The 18,765-nt window shown below is 54.2% G+C and overlaps 1 long non-coding RNA gene across 19 annotated transcripts in view, besides 3 other annotated features; it reads left to right on the forward strand.

The window, feature by feature from the left end:
- The window catches only part of MEG3 (maternally expressed 3), a 34,919-nt gene that overhangs the window by 860 nt on the left and 15,294 nt on the right, over window positions 1-18,765 (forward strand). For 2 of the 19 annotated variants that reach the window (NR_003530.2, NR_190995.1), the window contains exons 2-8: window positions 1,741-1,849; window positions 2,067-2,782; window positions 4,454-4,567; window positions 5,545-5,674; window positions 7,665-7,784; window positions 9,200-9,333; window positions 18,491-18,566. This is a non-coding gene — a long non-coding RNA (maternally expressed 3). Of the gene's footprint in view, window positions 1-1,740; window positions 1,850-2,066; window positions 2,821-4,048; window positions 4,128-4,453; window positions 4,568-5,544; window positions 5,675-7,664; window positions 7,785-8,768; window positions 8,913-9,074; window positions 9,109-9,199; window positions 9,334-18,490; window positions 18,567-18,765 lie in introns of all 19 variants that reach the window. The other 17 variants (NR_046465.2, NR_190996.1, NR_002766.2 and 14 more) reach the window with 15 other exon arrangements.
- Window positions 3,686-4,187: an enhancer, noted in NCBI's record as "NANOG hESC enhancer chr14:101296990-101297491 (GRCh37/hg19 assembly coordinates)". NCBI's record gives its function as "activates a minimal SCP1, AML or CMV promoter by ChIP-STARR-seq in naive H9 embryonic stem cells {active_cell/tissue: H9 hESC(naive)}" and the evidence as "EXISTENCE:reporter gene assay evidence [ECO:0000049][PMID:30033119]".
- Window positions 12,351-13,112: an enhancer, noted in NCBI's record as "H3K27ac-H3K4me1 hESC enhancer chr14:101305655-101306416 (GRCh37/hg19 assembly coordinates)". NCBI's record gives its function as "activates a minimal SCP1, AML or CMV promoter by ChIP-STARR-seq in naive and primed H9 embryonic stem cells {active_cell/tissue: H9 hESC(naive and primed)}" and the evidence as "EXISTENCE:reporter gene assay evidence [ECO:0000049][PMID:30033119]".
- Window positions 13,113-13,872: an enhancer, noted in NCBI's record as "H3K27ac-H3K4me1 hESC enhancer chr14:101306417-101307176 (GRCh37/hg19 assembly coordinates)". NCBI's record gives its function as "activates a minimal SCP1, AML or CMV promoter by ChIP-STARR-seq in primed H9 embryonic stem cells {active_cell/tissue: H9 hESC(primed)}" and the evidence as "EXISTENCE:reporter gene assay evidence [ECO:0000049][PMID:30033119]".

Consider the following 18,765-nt stretch of genomic DNA (forward strand, 5'->3'; position numbering starts at 1 on the left):
TGCAGGGGGTGGGTTGGGGAGGAGAGAAGGCCGTGTCCTTGGGTCTGGGAAGAGGGAGGAGAGAAATGCAGAAAAGGGGGTGTGTTGCTGGGGTCTGGACGCTGGGAGCTGGGGATGGGGTGCCGCGGGGGTCTTCAGAGCGTTGCGTGGTGGTCGCTCGAAAATCCTGACATGTTGCAGTCTTGGACTTTTGGTCAAATCGCCTTTTGCCATTTCCTTTGTCAGAGTCAAGCCCCCCCAGGCCGCCCCCTCCCACCCTGGGCCGGCGGGCCTGGTGGGGGCGCAGGCGGGTGGCTACGTGGCAGGTTTCTGGAAGGTTTCCTGGCTGGCCGCGAGAGGGCGCTGGCGGCACTGCGGAATTTTGGGGGGCGGGGTGGGGAGGGGAGGTGGCCTTTGTTCTCCTGATGGAGGGGGTCGGGCGCGGGATCTACTGGAGGATCCTGGATTCGTTTACCCAAGAGGGAACAGTTTTGAGACCCCCCGGATTCACTGCGGAGTGGCCGCAGAGGCCGGGGTCGGCCTTTGCGCCGTGGCTTCGGGTGTTGTGGAGGCGCACAGAGGCACGTTAGTTGATTTCCAGTGGTTTTTGGTTTCGGGGGTCTTAGGAAGGTGTGGCTCATTTGAGCAGGATGGAGAGAGAGGCTGTGACAAGGTCAGTGAGGGGCCATCGTGCGGGGGCTAGAAATTGTTGTTGTGGCGAAGGAGGGAGGCACGACTTTGGAGGCGTGATGTTGATGCCTGGGGGCGAAGGCGGGGAGCGGCGTGGTGGCCCCCTTTGCGTTACTTTCCAGCGATGTCACAGGTTCTGTCTCTCGTTCCGAGACCACCCACATGCGTGACAGCGGTGCCTGGAGGACTGGGTCTTTCTGACTTTAGTGAACGTGTGTTTAATTGGATTGACGAAGGTGGGAGTCGGGATTTCTGCTTTTCCCTGTAGCAGGCGGAGCGGCGCTCCAGAGGGGCCTGGCGCAGGTCCGCTGGGTGGCCCACCTTCCTCTGGGGCTGGGGCCCGGTGGCTGGGGGCGCAGGAGGCGCCTGGTGCGGGCGGGAGGCGCTGCGCCGCAGCCACAGGTGGGCTCTGGCTGGTGGTGGCTGGAGAGGCGTCCAGGGGGCGTAGCGACCTGGCGCGGTGGCCTGGGGTGGGCTGTGGAGCCCTTCCTAGCCTGAGACCTGTTGGGCACCCCCTGTCCATCCAGGCCCGCCGGGCGCGGGCCGGGGCGCCGCAGGTGGCTGCTGCACTCCTGGGTTACGGGTGCGGGCCGCGCGCCCCCTAGCGGTGTGTGCCAGCCCCGCTACCTTGGGTTTTGAGTTGCGCACACGCACACAGCTAACACTTGTGACCTGTCAGTCAAATCATCCTTACCCCCTCCCACTCCTCTCCTCCACCTCCCATTTCTCCTCTCCCTCCACCCTTTCTCATTTCCTCGTCCCTCCTCCCCCTCCTATTTTTCTTCTCCCTCCTCCCTCTTTCCTCTTCCCTCCTCCCTCTTCCCCCCTCATTTTCCTCATCTCTCTTTTCCCCTCCCCTTCTCTCCTCCCCTCTCCCTGCCCCCCTCCTTCCTCCCTCCATACCCCTCCCTCTTCCCTCCCAGCCCCTCCCTACTGCCTTCCTCAGTCCTCCCCTTTGCCACTCCTCCCTGCCTTTCCCTCTGCCTGCCCCCTTTTGCTCTCTGCTGTTCCGGTGCTGGCCGTTAGAGGTCACGAAGATGGTTTCTAACCTGCCCCCCTCCCATGCCATAGGGTCTCTCCTCAGGGATGACATCATCCGTCCACCTCCTTGTCTTCAAGGACCACCTCCTCTCCATGCTGAGCTGCTGCCAAGGGGCCTGCTGCCCATCTACACCTCACGGTACTTCAACCCTCCTGCTATCATTTCATAACCAACGTGGCGGGCAGAATCTCCCAACCCCACCACCATCCTTGCACCACCCCCAGACCCACTAGCAATTAAAAGACAATTTTAAATTTTAACTAATCAGCTTTAATTGTAATTAATGAACTTAAACTGTAATTATGATCTAGGCTTGGGCTTTTAAGCAGGTTCTCTAACCTTTGATCAATTGCAGAGGGCACTAGGAGCACGGTTTCCTGGATCCCACCAACATACAAAGCAGCCACTCACTGACCCCCAGGACCAGGATGGCAAAGGATGAAGAGGACCGGAACTGACCAGCCAGCTGTCCCTCTTACCTAAAGACTTAAACCAATGCCCTAGTGAGGGGGCATTGGGCATTAAGCCCTGACCTTTGCTATGCTCATACTTTGACTCTATGAGTACTTTCCTATAAGTCTTTGCTTGTGTTCACCTGCTAGCAAACTGGAGTGTTTCCCTCCCCAAGGGGGTGTCAGTCTTTGTCGACTGACTCTGTCATCACCCTTATGATGTCCTGAATGGAAGGATCCCTTTGGGAAATTCTCAGGAGGGGGACCTGGGCCAAGGGCTTGGCCAGCATCCTGCTGGCAACTCCAAGGCCCTGGGTGGGCTTCTGGAATGAGCATGCTACTGAATCACCAAAGGCACGCCCGACCTCTCTGAAGATCTTCCTATCCTTTTCTGGGGGAATGGGGTCGATGAGAGCAACCTCCTAGGGTTGTTGTGAGAATTAAATGAGATAAAAGAGGCCTCAGGCAGGATCTGGCATAGAGGAGGTGATCAGCAAATGTTTGTTGAAAAGGTTTGACAGGTCAGTCCCTTCCCACCCCTCTTGCTTGTCTTACTTGTCTTATTTATTCTCCAACAGCACTCCAGGCAGCCCTTGTCCACGGGCTCTCCTTGCATCAGGTAGGGGCTTTGCAGAGACCATCGACGGGCTGACTTGAGTAAGAACACGAATTATGCATGTGGCCATTTCCAGAGCACTTTCTATGTGATATGAACATGTGATTTTTATGTAATATGTGTATGTAAACGAGGCAGCCTCATTTCCAGGTGAGGATGCATTTGGTAGTGTTGATTTTTGTAATTTAAAGAAGCTGAAAGGGAGAGAGGACCCGTGAGGACTGAACTCTCTGTCCCATGGGGTAGGGCTTACATTTACATTAAAGAAACAGAAACTTGCTGGGAGGTGTAAGTATTTGGTCACATTGCTGGCAACAGAAGGGGTTGGAGTTGGACCCAGGGTGCCACGCTAGCTGCCCTCACCCCTTCTTCCCCTCTGGCCCAGAGTTATACTAAGAGTCCTTTTATTTCAAACCAAATGTTTGACAATGGGACAGTCTGTTTGAAATCCCAGCTGCCTGGGGTGGTCTTGGGGGTCTGGGTGGCCCCAGTGCTGGTACCATGTGCTGGCTTCACCTTTTAATAACAGTGTGACCTTAAACAAGTCGCTTAACTACTCTAAGTTTCAGTTTCTTTCATGGTCTAAATGGAGATTAAAACACACACACACACACACACACACACACACACACACACACCCCCTCGTGTATCTACCCCACAGGGCGCTTTTGAAGACCAAATGCTGTAACTACTATGAAAGTGCTTTGTAAATTGCTGTGGAAAGTGTGAGCTACTCAAGCACCCGAGGCTGTCCCTCCTTGCTCACATGTCCAGCCCAATTCTCCCTTAGTGAGAACAGCACTCAGTAGGTGCTGTGTGTGTTTGTGTTCAATTAAGAAATTCCAGAATAAATAAAAATGAATTAATTCAACAAACATTTTCTGGGGCACCGACAATCTGCCCAGTGCACCAGGCTAGGTATCTGATACAAAGATAATGAAAACAGTCTCTTGGAACCTAATTGGGGTCCTCATTTGACCAGGAATTTCTTTCGTCCCGTTTTAAGCCAACCAGTTTTGTCCGGACAAGACAAAAACAACTTGGGCTGCTTTAGAGAAGCCCAGCTCAGTGTAGACAATAGCTGCCCAGCCTCTGAAAGGGGCTGATTGGATTATGTGGCAAATGGAGGTGCAAGGATGACTTGGACGGTGACAAATGAAGTGGGCGGAGACCTGCTTTGAGTTAATCCAGGCTATTAGGAGGGGACCTTTTGTCTTCCAGAGACTGGCAGGAGCTTTTACCAGTGGTTTTTACATCCTTAATGTTCAGGACGAATAATTTATGGTCAGTGAAAATCCAGGCCCCAGTGAGATTCGAGTGGGCTGTAAAATCGAGAGTCCTGCTCCCAGTGAGTAATGGTAGTGAATGTTTCTGTCACTTTTTGCAACCGTCCATTCATTTGATCCTCACAACTCCCTGTCCTGAGCCAGGACCGGCCACTGCCACTCCCAGGGAAACAGAGGCTGTCAAGAGGCTCCACAGATTGGGCCCCACTGGATCATTGAACCCCTGTTCCCTGAGTTCTAGAGGAAGAATTGTACCTGTCTCAGTCCCGGCCACCTCCAGAAGGCCTCCCTCTGCATTTCTGACTTTGCTGTGCCGGCAGCCTGGAGCCTCCCAGGTCCCTGCTGTCATCTTTTCTAGCCACTACAGTCTCTGTCTTTCCTTTCACAGCCAAGCTTCTTGAAAGGCCTGTCTACACTTGCTGTCTTCCTTCCTCACCTCCAATTTCCTCTTCAACCCACTGCTTCCTGACTCGCTCTACTCCGTGGAAGCACGCTCACAAAGGTAAAGACTTTTCTGTGGCTTAATCCTTGTCATGTTTTCGGCTCATGGACACAAGGACACATTTTCATGCCTTCTCTCACAGGGCTCTGCGTCTCCGGTTCACTTCTGTGTCTTTACACTCCCTTCACAGAGACACTTGCTCCCCCTTCTCTCGTTCTTAGCATCCCCTAGGAACTTGCACACCCAGGTCTCTCGACTTCTGGACCTGCTTCTTACCATGCCGTCTTAAGCAGTCAGGAGTCGCTGCCTGGGTTCGAGTCCTAGTTAAATTACTTAGTGCTGAGACCTTGGGGTAGGTAAACTTTTCCAAGCCAGGTTTATCTCAGTTTCAAAATAGGGTTAATCGTCTTTATCTGGCAGGTCAGGTGGGATGTCTCACAGGTAAGCACCAGATGCCATTTGAAAGGCTTGAAGCAAAGTCAATAAAGCATTCATGGGAAAATACAACTGGAGGCACCACTAGATTTTCGTATACATTAGGTTCCCACGGGGAGGACCGAAGAGAGAAGAAAGAAGTGGAAAGGGAGGAGCGTGCAGGAGAGACAGGAGAAGAGAATAACTAAACAAAGACATTAAAGACAAAAAAAAAGTAGGAAAGGGAGACTTAGAAAATATTAAAAGCCACCAAAAACACATCCAAAGACGGTTTCCCCTTACGTTAGTTGGGCTAAAAGAAAGCAAATGGGAAGAAGGTTTTAAATTGATTATCCCAGTGACAAATCCCAGGAAGCTTTCACATCAAATCACCCTATTCTGGGTTTTTAACTCCTTCCATCGAGTTTAACCTCTTTACCTCCCACATCCTGGTAAACCCTGCCCCCTCCCTACCGCCCCCTTTGCTGGTGATTAAATCCTGAAGGTACACGAAGTATTTCAGTGAATGAATGGCTAACAGAAAAGGGCCTCCCCTCCCCCTTACCCTGGCGGTGTTTTTCAGTTTTATTCCACTTTCCGCCCTTTTCCCTTAATGAACACAGGGCTAATCTCGGGCCTTGTCGAAGGAAGAGGCTGCAGACGTTAATGAGGTTAGCTGCTGGATTCCAGTATTCGTCGCATAAGGATCCTTCTTTGTCTGCGAAGGAAAAACACACTGATTATCATAATGAGGTGAACTGGCCACCGCCGGGCCGGGGCGATGTGGCTTCTTAAGCCACACTTCTAATTTTGGTGATGGAGCCGACATTTCTTTGGCTTCTCATTTAAGTCTTTGCCTCTGTCCCAGTGCGAAGTCCATTCAGCGGGGTTGAAAGTTGCAGGCAGCTTTGGGAAGGGGGGCGTCGGACAGGGTTGCATTGTAGAAAGTGGCTTTGTTCGATCCTTCGCACAGATGCAAATGGCCAGAGCATTCATTCCCTTTCTTCAAGAGCTGAGGACTGGGGGGGCCACTGGTGATCAGTTCCCAACTCTAGCTCTCCTCTGACTCATCTCAGGACCCATTGAGGACATCCAAAACTCACTCAAGATCACCAAGTGGTAGGAAAGTACTAACTCCTGGGCATAGCCCTAGGGGAGTGACTACAATGTGAATACTCATGGAATGCCTAGCCAGGTGAAGAAGTGAATGCATGTTGGCATCCCAGAGGGACCCCCCTTAAGAGGGCATAGTTTGGGGTTCAGATTTGACTCCAGCATACTGTTGAAATTGGGCACAGGGGGCTAGTGATTAGTCAGGATCAATCAGTGGAGAGGAGATTAAAACTCACATCTGGGAGTCCGGAATCAGAACTTGTAGTTCTTTTTTTTGAAATGGAGTCTCGCTCTGTCGCCCAGGCTGGAGTGCAGTGGCGTGATCTCGGCTCACTGCAACCTCTGCCTTCCGGGTTCAAGCAATTCTCCCACCTCAGCCTCCTGAGTAGCTGGGATTACAGGCGCCCACCACCACAGCCGGCTACTTTTTGTATTTTTAGGAGAGACGGGGTTTCACCATGTTGGTCAGGCTGGTCTTGAACTCCTGACCTCATGATCCACCTGCCTTAGCCTCCCAAAGTGCTGGGATTACAGGCGTGAGCCACCATGCCCAGCCCTATAGTAGTTCTTCTTTTGCCCCTTAATATCTTCACCCACATGTCCTGTACCCTGCCTGAACCCTCCTCCTCTTTTTGTTCTGATCTTTGAGCTCCCTAGAGCCCATAATTCTTTAGAGCAGGTATGTCCCGAGTCTGAAACATGCCCTTATTTGTCCCAAGCTCTGGACATTTCTCACCCCAAGGCGGATCAATCATGATTAAATCACTCCAATTAAACTTTAGGCTCCAGTCAGACCTTCAGCCAAATGGAAAAAAAAACTAGGGGATAAGGGAGGTAGTTGGAGCAAGAAAATGTTATTAGTTGAAACCTTACGGGACCTTCCTCCCTTAGTGAGTCTGTTGGCTAAAGGTTCTCTGGCTTCGTGAATTAGAATCGGATACTGTTTCCAAGTTAGCAAAACCAACTCTACCCCAGCACCCCACGAGGAAGAATGTGGAAGGATCTCCCATTGGCCGGTTGGGGCAAAAGCCTGAGGCAATCTTTCATCCCCTTTTGCCAAGGCGAGACTTTCCCAGTGACGGTGATGTAGTTGGCCACTCTGACTATGGGTGGACTCGGGTGTAGACCTCTGAAGCTGAGATCACACGAAAACCTGGCCTCCCCGCCATGTAGCTGTTGGAGAGTAGAAAAATAGAGCACGCCTGATGTTTCTAAATGAGAAGACTTTCAATAGTAATGAAGAATCCATGGCACTCTCCTCACCCTCAAACACATGGCAGTCATTCACATACAGGCCCCAAAGCCACTGTTAGTGCTGCAGTAGCTCCTGTGGACATTGGAAAGCCCGGAGAGGGCGTGGAAGAAATCAGCTGGCCCCCGGCAGGTTCTCTGGGGTTTTGTGCCCAAGGCTCCTGGAGCCCTAAAAACTTTCAAAAGTTAACTCCCCACGTCCCCATCCTGCTTGGGTTTCTGGACTTTTCTGAGGCACCGGCAGAGGGGTCTCGTTGCTCCCTTGAGTGTAGGGGCAGCCCTTTAACCTGGCTCCTTGAGTCCCTGCTTTTTCTGCTTCTGTTGCCTTCTTCCTCGTCTTCCTCTCTCTCAATATCTCCCTCTCTTTGTCCCTCCCCAGTTCCTGACCTGGCCATCCCGGGGTGCCCTTGACCAGCCCCGTGTCTCCTCAGGGTGTCCCAGCACCAGCCTGGCACAGAGTGGGGCTCAGTTAGAGTATGTGGGATGTTGGTTTCGCCAGGTGAGTGAATGAAAGGACTCGACCACCACAGCTGAGCCACTAGCTGGGCCATGCGAAGAGTTCTAGGTGCAAAGGCTGGAGGGTGGAATTCATTTTTGAGAGGTGTGTGAGCAGCTTCCGACCCCTGCCCCATTTGAACGGGGGCCTTGCTGGTCGCGTCCCTGCATTCACCCGCGCGGCCATCCCGTCATCCAACAGTTGATCCTAACTGAGCACGCCCACGGCCCTGGTCTGGCCTGGGCACCGGCCACCGTAGCCCATCCCTTGATGGCCTCTGTGTCCCCAGGAGGGCGGGCCGGGGGGTTGCCCAGGGGCTGGAGCAGTGGACTGTGGCTCCATAGAGGTAGGCCGGAGGGTGTGAGGGCAGATTCAAGCTATCCCCAGGGCTCTGCTCTGGTCGGAGCCAGCCCCTTCTCCCTCTCTGCCTTCCCCGCCCCATTCCTGATGCTGAACTGTTCTGGACCCCTGGCCCTGAGTCTCTCAGGACCAAAGTGGGCACGGGAACAGCTGTAGTGTGTGCCCCCCCGGGCTTTGGCCACAGGTCTCCCTCTCGAGGTGTGGTTGTGACTGCGACCCTTCCCTTGCCGTGATGCCTTCCTCCCCCGGGGCTTGGTCCAGCTCCTTCACTCTCTAGCAGCTGCTGGGGCCCACCTCCCATGCCGAGGACCAGCAGGGGAAACCTCCAGGGAGCATCTGCAGGCTCTGCTTCTGCCCGGCTGCTGGCTTGCTCTCCCTGGTGGCTCTCCAGCGGCCAGCTTCCTCACCCACCCGGCACTCCGCTTTGCTCTGTCTCCTGAGGTGGGCCTGACCAACCTCCCCTTCTCTGCCTCAGTCCCTGGGCTCCAGGGCTCAGCTCCACAGCCCTCTGCCTAGCAGGCTGGTTCTCCCTGCCAAGCCCATACCTGTGGTCACCTGGCCCTCCTGTGGTCTGAGTACCACTCCCCTGCCCCAGGAGCCACTCCCACTCCAGCTGCCTGTTTCCAGCAGGTTCCCAGTGCCCCCGACAAGCCCCTGCTGGTGTCTCCATCTCCTGCCAAGCATCCTCCAGTGCCTCCTCCTGTGGGCCTGGCCTCAGGGCTATGGACAGACTCCTGTCCCATCCCAGAGACCCCTCGTGATCGTGCCCTGGTGGGTGTTGCCCCCGCCTGCCTTTGCCTCCGCCGTGGCCCTGAGAGTCCTGGGCTCTGCCCCGCCCGGTCCCTTGCTCCCCACTCAGTTCTGGATTTGGGGCTGCCCCTAACCCAGCCCGTTGCTGCTTTGCACCTTTTCCTGTCATTGGGCATCCCCCAGTAGTCACCCCACTCCACCGAAAAGTAAACTGCAGGTGAGGCCGTGCCCCGAGTCTTTCTTCGGTGTGTTTGGCTTTTCCGGGGCGCTTGCCTTGCCATGATTCTAACTCTCTGCCCTTCCCCAAGGCACGTGGGCCGTGGCCCGGCTGGGTCGGCTGAAGAACTGCGGATGGAAGCTGCGGAAGAGGCCCTGATGGGGCCCACCATCCCGGACCCAAGTCTTCTTCCTGGCGGGCCTCTCGTCTCCTTCCTGGTTTGGGGTGAGTTTCTTGCTTTCTTGAGACCCAGGATTTTATTAGGGTCAGCTCATGTCTCTCCTCTCTGATCAACAAGAGTGTCAACATTTAATTTGGGGAGGAGGCACCCTGCCAAGGTGAATTCTCTTCACATCAGCCCCAGGGGTCTGGGGGCCGGAGAGCTGCCTGGAGTGGAGACCCTTGCTATACCCAGCAAGCATGTGTGGGGGTCCACCCTGGCTGATGGCATGCTGTGGGCCGGCGACGGTAGGTGGGGAGTGTCCACCTCCACTCTAGACCCCCGAGAGCGGCTCGGGCCAGGCACTCAGGAGCCCTCAGTACGGCTTTGCTGAACACATTGCAAAAGGGATCCAGGGGGCACTTGCCCTGCCCACACCCGGCCCAGGGACCCCTTCGGAGAGGAGGAAATGGGAATGCTTGCCTGCTCCTCAGCTAGGAAGACATTTCTTTCCACCAGCCATGGTAGCGTCACCCCCTGTGAGAACCGTGGTTTCTCACACATGAGGCTTTGATAATGTCCTTTAATCAAATAGTGGTTTTTGAGCAAGTTCTTCTCTTTCCTCCTTTCCTCACCCCTGAAATTGCAATGAGACGGGAATGTTTTTGTTTGTTTAAATAAAACAGCAATGGTAGAGAAGAAGAAAGCGGGATTGGAGCCACACAATTCACTCGAGGACCCATCATTTGTTTATTTGTGTTTTACTAATTCAAGATGCAGCCGGGAGCCGTCCAGGGCTCGGGCCTGGGGTTGTTCTGGGGCGCCTAAGGCTGGGCTTTGCACTAAGGACCAGAGGGTCTACTTGGGTGCCGTGGAGCACCCATGCAGCAAGGTGGCTTGCACAGCAGCCAGGCGAGGTGTCGTCGAGGGCGGGGGCTCAGGGTGGCATGCTGGACGGCCATGCCAGGCTGAAGTTTGGGCTGGCAGGAAGAGAGGAGGCTCAGCTGAGGCCACTTTCCTTTCTGGGGGTCCCAGGGACTGAGTCTGTGGCTCACTCAGGGCGATGGGGTGTTTTTAGAGCCACTGCCCTGGGAGGCAGTGTCAGGATCCTGGCACCCCTCATATATGACGCCCCTGGGGTGGCCATTGTGGTGAATGAGTGCAGTTAGACTTCCCAGAGAAGCTGGGTGGGCGCTGAGAAAGGTCTGAACCGTGGGGTGAGGCTGGCTCCATTCCCCCAGACATTTATGGAGGCTTGAGGGGGCCCTAGCACTGTCCTTGGCCCAGATGCCAATACTCCCCTCTGGACGCCCACGAATGGGGTCTCTGAGAAGGAAGTGGATGAACACAGCTGCACGCTGGGTGGGGCCCAGCCTCTAGTCCTCAGCCATGTGCACGCATCAGCCCTTGTGCAGGCCTCCGCCCTCCGCCACCCCCCACCCCCGGAGTGTCTCTGGTTTCCGACGCAGCCTCGTAATGCTCTTTAATCAAACAGAGGATTTGGAGACAGCTCTCCTGCAGCCCTGCACTTCTCCCCTGAAATTGAAATGGGATGGGGATATTATTTTTAAACAAAATCTGGCAGCGTAGGCAGAGGGGGCAGAGGCGCTCTAACCTGGGGCTGTTGCCTTTGTCTGCTTGTTTCTGCTCTCTGGAGAGCCCCAGAGCCTGGAGAGACGGGGAGGGGAGTGTGTGCCCAGGGCTAAACCCAGGGAGGGGGCCCAGGAAGGCTCTGCCCCGTGACATTTACTCCAAGGCTAGCATTTGCTGAGCCACCTGCAAACACAGTGATGTGGAGAAGAGGCCCGGGAGGGGAGGTTTGCACAGGGGCAGGCTGCTGGGGTCCTGGGGGGATCCTGTCCCAAGCTTACTAGAATGCATTCGAGTAACTGGTCTGAGCCAGATGCCCTCAGCTCTTGGACTGGTTTCTCACGGACATCTCAGGACTTTCCCAAGGTGGACTAAGCCCAGGGACAAAGTCAAAGTGAAGGCCAGGGGCACACAGGAGAGGCCCAGATAGGACCAAGCTTTGGCAGCCCCTGGCTCTCAGGGGTTGAAATGGAACCCTCTTTGCACTGAGTTGTATTTCAGGTACTCATGAGTGTTTCGGTCTCAGGCAAACACATATTTGGGGTTTTGTGTGTCATTAGGTATAAAATAGGTAAAATATGCCACGTTCTCAATGAAAGAAGTTGAAACGTGACTTACTACGTCAGCCTTGCTGGTGATCTTCTCGGGAACTGCCGAAAGGCCACTAGTAAGTGCTGAAAGACATGATCATTTTCAGGAAAATTCTATTTTGATGGATTGGCCAATGCCTGAGCCATAGCGGGTGGAGATGAGACCCTGACTGACTAGGCAGTGAGCCACAGAGGACCCTGTCACATCAGCGGAGGGCGGTGAGGGGTCTCTGGCCATTTGTCATCGTGCTGATTCCTAGGGGGCTGCCTCTAGTGGGACTCTTCTGGGTGGGTGCAAGTGTCAGGGTAAAGACGGCGGTCTGGTCTGGAAACTGGCTCTCCTCTCGCACCTGCCCGCCCTGGGTGGTTGGGAAAGGAAACCAAGAGGGTAGCTCAGGCCTGAGCTCGTGGAAAGGAAGAACATGACCCCTCATTCGCTCACTCGCCCCCACATTCTCTCACCTGCGAGTTGCTCATTGCTGCTTTCAGGGCCCCTGACCTCATGCCTCCTGAGTTGTGATTCAAACCCCAAATGAATTTCCAAGTACATTTCTCCAAATAATGTCAAAACCTGGCAAGACTTAAGGGCAACAGGATGCATGTGTTTCTTATTCATTCATTTACATAAAATAACTTAAGTGTGTTTTTTATGAGCAATCTGACTTCCAAAAAGAATGAAAAGGAAAATCTACCCATCTTTAATGAACTTGCTAATGAATTTTTCCTTGCAAAGAGGAAGGGAGCTTCCTACAGAAGGGGGTGTGGAGGGAGACAGATTCAGGTCCCAAAGGGTTAAAGGGCAGTGGACAATGCGGAAGCCAGCATTGTGAGCTGCAGTGGAAAAGCCCTGGGTCGCTGGGAGTGGCTTCTTTTTAGGAGACTGGAATTAATGAGTTGTGAAGTGTCCCAAGGACTGGTTCCCCCTCCCTGCTGTTTCTCTGAGCCCTGTCCCCTCTTCCAAAGGAGGAATAAGGAGGTCTAGCTTCGTCTCCCATCCCCGATTTGAGCAGATGGAAGAGTCTAGAAAAGAGGTGTACCTTTTGAAACGAGGCCTCAGATGTGGGGTTCCTGGTCTGGAAAGGGGAAGGATGAATCTGGGGTAGGAGAGGGTCTCGTATGGAGCCCCATTCAGACAGGGCAGTCCCACACCTGGGCTGCCCACAGGTTCTTGGGGGAGTCTAAGGAAAGGGGAGCCACAGAACAGGCTTGCCTCCTTGGCATGGATTGGGTCAGTGTTTCAGAGCCAGGAAAGGTGGGAGTGTGGGGGGCCCTCGGGGCTGATGAGGGCGTGCAGACCCTCCCCTCCCACCTCCTGTCCCAGGAGCCCTGCAGACACTGCAGCAGGAGGGCACTCTGCCAGAAGAGGGGTTCCAGCTCCAGCCGGATCCAGCAGACATGGAGAGACCCCTTATCTTTGCCAAGACGAGCTCTGCGGTGCCTGAGAGGCCCGTAGGTCTGGAATTCTAGGGCCTTCTGGGTTTGAGTCAGGTCCTGAGGCCAGGGCCTGGGCCCTGATCCTCACCATGGAAAACTGGTCACTTTACTCAGGATAAACTGTGATGAGGACTTGGGACATATCTCTGTCTGTCCTCTCAGCTCGCGTCACCCCTGAGCCCTTGGCGATCGTGGGCGGCCCGTGTACAGAGCAGGTGCTGGGTCACTGGGGCCGCCGTGGGCCTCCCAACATGAGGGACTGTGTGTGAGAGAGGAGTTCATTAAGGGAGAGGATGGTGGTGAAGGGTGTAGCCATGACTTTCTTAACTGCTCTCCAATTTCTTTGAGCTTAAAAATAAATCCAGATGGAGAGTTCTTAAGTCCCCTATCCTGGGAGAAAGGAAGGCTGCCCACCACCTTCGGCTTGCCTCGACTCTGAGCAGTGAATAGGGTCTTTGGCAGGGGCTTAAGGAGGAGACTCTTAGCCTGGGAGCTCCCAGGGCTGTTTCAGATGGAAACAAAGGCTCAGGCCGAGAGGAATGTGGGGGAGCCCCCCGTGGGGAACAGCCACCTGGGGATAATTGGGAGGGCTGAGCGCAGATGAGTTTTCCCAGGTTCTGTGAATGCGCCCTTTCAATGGAAGGTGCCTTTTTTTCCAGATGAAAAGAAGAAAACGTCAATTACCTTCCCCTGAAACGGAGTGTGTGTGTGTTCCCTCCCAGGGGTTGTGTGGGGCCCCTTGCCCTTGTGTGTGTGTCGGGAGCTCCAAGGCTGCACAATGACGCACTTAACCAGCCACTGGGTTCGCGCGACCCTGGGATGCTCACGCTCTTAGATTCTAGGGCTTGATTTTGAAAGTTTCTTAGCAAAGGGGAATCAGAGTGATTGAGCCTGTAAACAAAAATTTGATCAACCTGGGCCTGATGCCTGAAATATAGCCAAAGAGACAGAATGGGGCTGCGGGGAGAGAGGTCCAGGATGGAAAGTTGGGGAAGGAGGACAGTCGGGGGCCAAAGGCTGACCGCATGTCTGCGCCGGCCTCCGCGCTCACAGCTGGGCTGCTCCTTCTGCCACCCCAGCCCTTTCTCTGGGCCTTCCTGGCAGTGGACATAGAGTGATTCCCTACTCAGGAAGTTGGCGGTAGGGGGCTCAGAAATCCACAGGGCTGTTGTTTCACAGTTAGCCAGGAGAGGAGGGGGTCATGGTGGCCCGCAGGGATGGTGGGCAGCTGCGAGAGAGGGGACGCTTCAGGTTAGAGCGAAGCTGTTTGCACCACCACTGCCCCAGACTGCCGTAAGGGTAGGGCCACTCCAGAGGCACCAGGGACAAAGTCCCTGCCGTGACAGGAGGGGGGCACAGGTCTCAGTCTTGGCTGGTCACTGACTTTGCTGCTGCTGGCTTCTGAGCCTCAGAGAGGTCAGCAGTCTTCCAGAGACCTGGTTAGAGCCTGTGCTCAGCCCTGACTATGGGTGTGACCTTGGCCCCTGTCTCCAGCCCCTTAGGCCTCAGTTTTCCCGTCTACGAAATGGGCGAGTGCAGGCCCATGGTCGTCCGAGTGGCTCGGGGTTTCTTCAGGCCTCCCTGGAGGTCATCTGTCGTTTGTTTGCTGGGTCTTTGGAGTTGTTGGGACTTTGGGGGTCACTGGTCCGCTGCCCCCTCTGCTTTAGAGGTGGGGAAACCAGCGATCCCAGAGGCCCGGAGCCTTGCCCGAGGTTGCACGGTGAGCCGGCAGCAGGCCCTGGAGGTGAAGCCCCTGCCAGTTGCCAGCTCCTGTGTGACCTGTGTGGTCGGGGGGGGTCACAGTCACCGGTCATTAGTGTGGGTCAGAGCTCTTGCCCAAAGAAGGTTCCAAGGGGCTGCCCCATGAGCTGGGATGCAGGGATCGTGTTTTATGGGGCATTATTCCAAACAGGCAGGCTGCTGGTCTGGTCTGGAACACCTTTTTGGTCTGTAGAGTGACTCTTGTTTAATGAGACTGGACTTGTGGCTTCAGAACCAGGAGATGTTCGTTCCCCCAACCCCCGTGGCTCACCTTGTGCCTTTTGGGTCCTGAGACCCTCGCCAGCGCCTCTGTTGGCACGGTGGCCCAGTCGGCTGAGAACTTCCTGAAAAAGCCAACAGGATGACAACTTCTGGAAAAGTGATCATCACCCGCCTGCACTGGCTGCCCATCTTAGACTCAGCTTTGCCAACATTCCCAGCTATCTCTGTGTGCTGCAGTGTGTAGTAATGAACAGCTCACAAAACCTCCGGCTGGGCCTGCACCTGGTTATTACCGTGGTGGGCTGCAGCTTTTGTTTTGTGACCTTGGTTGCTACAATACCTGCGAGCTGAAATGAGGAATCGAAAAATTGCCAGCTTCAATTAGACGGGCAGACTGCTTTCCCAAGGCTGCCTCCGCCACTCCATCCATTAACGGTAAACAGGCACCAAATAGGCCCTAATTCTCTCTAATTGCCCACTCCTGAAGCAAAGAGGTGAAATTCCAGGAAGAGGCGTATGTAAACATCCTCTGTAACCTGACCAAGTAAAATTAGAGGGCTGATGGGGGCCTGCGAGAGAGAGGGGACATGATTTCAAAAGATGTCCCAATTACCTCTCCTATTTTCATAAATGGGTCTGTAATGTCCAGGGCCCCGGCCTCACAAAGGTACAGGAAATTAGCTCTGCAAAGAGCTTGCATTTGTCAGGGGAAGTTGTAAGGGGGTGGTGTTTACTCAACAGGTAGGAAGTACGAGATCTGAGGCAAGACTGATTATTTGTGTAACGACGGGCTCTATTTCTTGAGATCAACATTTTAATAAAAGTCATCCTTTTAGGTCCTTTTGTGTTTGAAACAGCCATAAGTTGTTTATACCAAAGACATGCCAGATCAGTTAGGTGCTGTTTGCCTCCAGAAAAGAGGAACTTTTAAAATCCTAAGATGCAGAGCTAGAGTTTTCTAATCCCATTAAGCTGTGGAAGATGTTTTTGGAGTGTTCACCAATGCTTTCTGCGTGGGTCATGAGCTCACTGCACGCACTTATGAGGTCTTCCATCAAATGCTTGTGACAATTACTCCTCTGGACTCTATAAGGAGGCCTCGTGTTTTTCTTTGGTTCCAGACAGTGACTCATCTCTGCAGCTTTTCTGACATTTGTTAAGATTCTAGCCCAGCACTGCGTTATTAACACATCACAGCAAGCCCAGAGCTGGCACACGCAGCTTTTAAACCAAGGCACGAATTTGCTGGGGCTTCTCTGTAGCAGAGCAGCCTGCGGTCTGCACACAAGAGTTAATTAAGGACGGTCAGGGACTCTGAGGTTTCATGGGGTCCCTGGAGCAGAAGCAGGAAAAAACCCAGATGCTCCTTCCTGCTTCTGATTTCTCCGCTCCTATTAAAAACACAAAAAAGAACAAAACAAAAACAGCCAAACAAAGCACCCGCCTCTGATTCCTGCGGGAAATGGCAGTGCCTTTGGTCGCGCTGTGTGTTCTTGGCCTGAGTCTCGTTGCCACCTTAGGACGTGGCGATGGTGAGAGGCCACCCCAGCCACGCACAGTCTCGGAGGGAGGGTGGGAAACGGTCTCGAGTGGTGGTCAGTAGATAATGGGTGGTCTGGCAGCCTTTAGGTAACCGAAGTCGGCCCCTCAGTCACCCATGCACTGATCATTGCTTCACTAACACTTATTTTAAGACTTGTTGTTTCTTGGTTATCAAATTAACCAGTTATGGCAGAACAGGGTTTATGAAGGGCAAGGCCAGGGAAGGAGATTTTAGGAAGATTTGGAGGCAAGAAGTGTCCCCAGTGCCCTGGCCGGGTCTTGGACATCCTGGCTGGAGACATGACTAGGAATAGAGAGGCAGAGGCAGCAGGGGTGGCCCAGATGGCAGGGGTGGGTTGGAGAGATCCCTGAGAGGCCTGAGGACAGGCGGCAGTCTTGGGAGCCCCTGAAGACCTGCAGTGGGGCAGGCAGCTGGAGTCAGGTGTCTCCCGGGACCTGTTTTTTTTTTTTTTTTTTTTTTTTGAGACAGAGTCTTGTTCTGTTGTCCAGGCTGGAGGGTAGTGGCGCAATCTTGGCTCACTGTAATCTCTGCCTCCCACGTTCAAGCGATTCTCCTGTCTCAGCCTCCCGAGTAGCTGAGACCATAGGCACATACCACCACGCTGAGCTAGTTTTTAGTAGAGACGGGGTTTCATCATGTTGGTCAGGCTGGTCTCGAACTCCTGACCTCAGGCGATCCACCTGCCTCAGCCTCCCAAAGCGCTGGGATGACAGGCATGAGCCACCCCCCTGGGGCTGGTACCTGTGGTCTGTGGCTTCTGCCTGCCCTGGTGCCCCCACATCTCTCTCATGGCCTTTCTGTTTCCTGGGTGGCTTTGTGGGGGTGTCCCATGGTCTCCCCCTGGCTTCCTGTCTCCACCTGTGCCTAATCCAGGAAACGGTCCCCAGAGATGGTGTTTTCAAACAGACCTTGGCCCTGTCCTCCTGGCCCAGCCCCTGGCTGCCCTATCACCTAGCTTGCTGCGTTGGTGGGACCTCAGCTGTCACAGGCTACCTTTCTATGACGCCTCCTCACCTTAAGTAGACTCTGAACAGATTTTAAAAGCCATTCATTCAACACATTTTTTAAATGAATAAACTTTTTTTCTGTGTAGTTTTCAGTTTACAGAAACATTGGTGGGAAAGTACAGAGAATTCCCAGATCCCGTCCCCACCATCTCCCCTGTCATTCACACGTTGCCTCCGTGTGGTGTGGTCTGTTTGTTCCGATCGATGGAACGACTCTGATACATGATTAACTAGAGGCCTTGGTTCACATCATTAGGGCTCACTCTTTGTGGCGCACATCCTGTGGGTCTTGACAAATGTGTCATGATACGTGTCTGACATTGCTGAAGTCACCTTTTCTTAAAGCTTAACATTTTGGGAGTATTCTGAACTATGTTTGGCCCAGCCTGCTGCCCGATTTTTATAAAAAAGAAAAAACAAAACAAAACAAAAAAACAAGTTAAAACGTAAGGCAGATCTTGACACTGAAGACTCGATGTGCCTGGCCATGGTGCTTCCCGGGGCCTACTGCACTGTGAACAAAATTGCCACAGTGGAGTTGTCTGTCCAGGCACACAACGTGTGTGCCATGGTTTTGGGAAACGCTGCCCATTAATAGCCCTGCAGCCCTCTGTGGGCTGCCCTCCCGGCCACACCCCGCTTCCCTGGTCTCCTCCAGGGCCAGCCATCCTGCTCGCCGACCTGGGCACCTTGCTTCTGCCAGAGCACAGGTTCATGCCCTGTCTTCAGGGCCTGGGCCACCCCCGTTTCTCATCTATGCAGGGTCCTAAGCCTTTGGGTCCCACAGAGCACGACTTCGCTCCGTGAACAGCACCAACCCAAGTCTGTTCCATGTCTCCACACCTGCCCCTTCCGCTCCATAGGCAGCTGGTGGGTGAGTGGAGTCAGGAGAGAAATGCGTGGCTTCTCCAATTCCACACTTGCTGGAGGTTGGGGAGTCTCTGCTCCAGGCCACCCCTGCCCGCCCCCCAGAGCTGTTGTCCTCATCCGCCCTCCTCCTCCTCGCCGGCCTGAGTGAGGTTCTACTCTGTGACCTAGTGCCTTCTTGTTACAGCGGAAGCCATCACCTGGATGCCTACGTGGGAAGGGACCTCGAATGTGGGACCCCAGCCCCTCTCCAGCTCGAAATCGTAAGTGGCTGGAGTGTAAAGAACACACATGTGGCCTTGCTGCTGAGGGTGGGGCCAGCTGCCCGGAGCACACCGCCAGGCGGACCTCGTGGAGGGGCTGGCGGGCACTGGCCGGGGGTCTGTGCACCGGGAGGTGGGTGCCCATCGAGTCAAGCCAAGTGCAGACCTGGGGGCTCCTGTTTTCTAAGACAGGAGCCCC

The sequence above is a fragment of the Homo sapiens genome, chromosome 14 (genome assembly GCF_000001405.40).
Source record: "Homo sapiens chromosome 14, GRCh38.p14 Primary Assembly".
Lineage (NCBI taxonomy): Eukaryota > Metazoa > Chordata > Mammalia > Primates > Hominidae > Homo > Homo sapiens.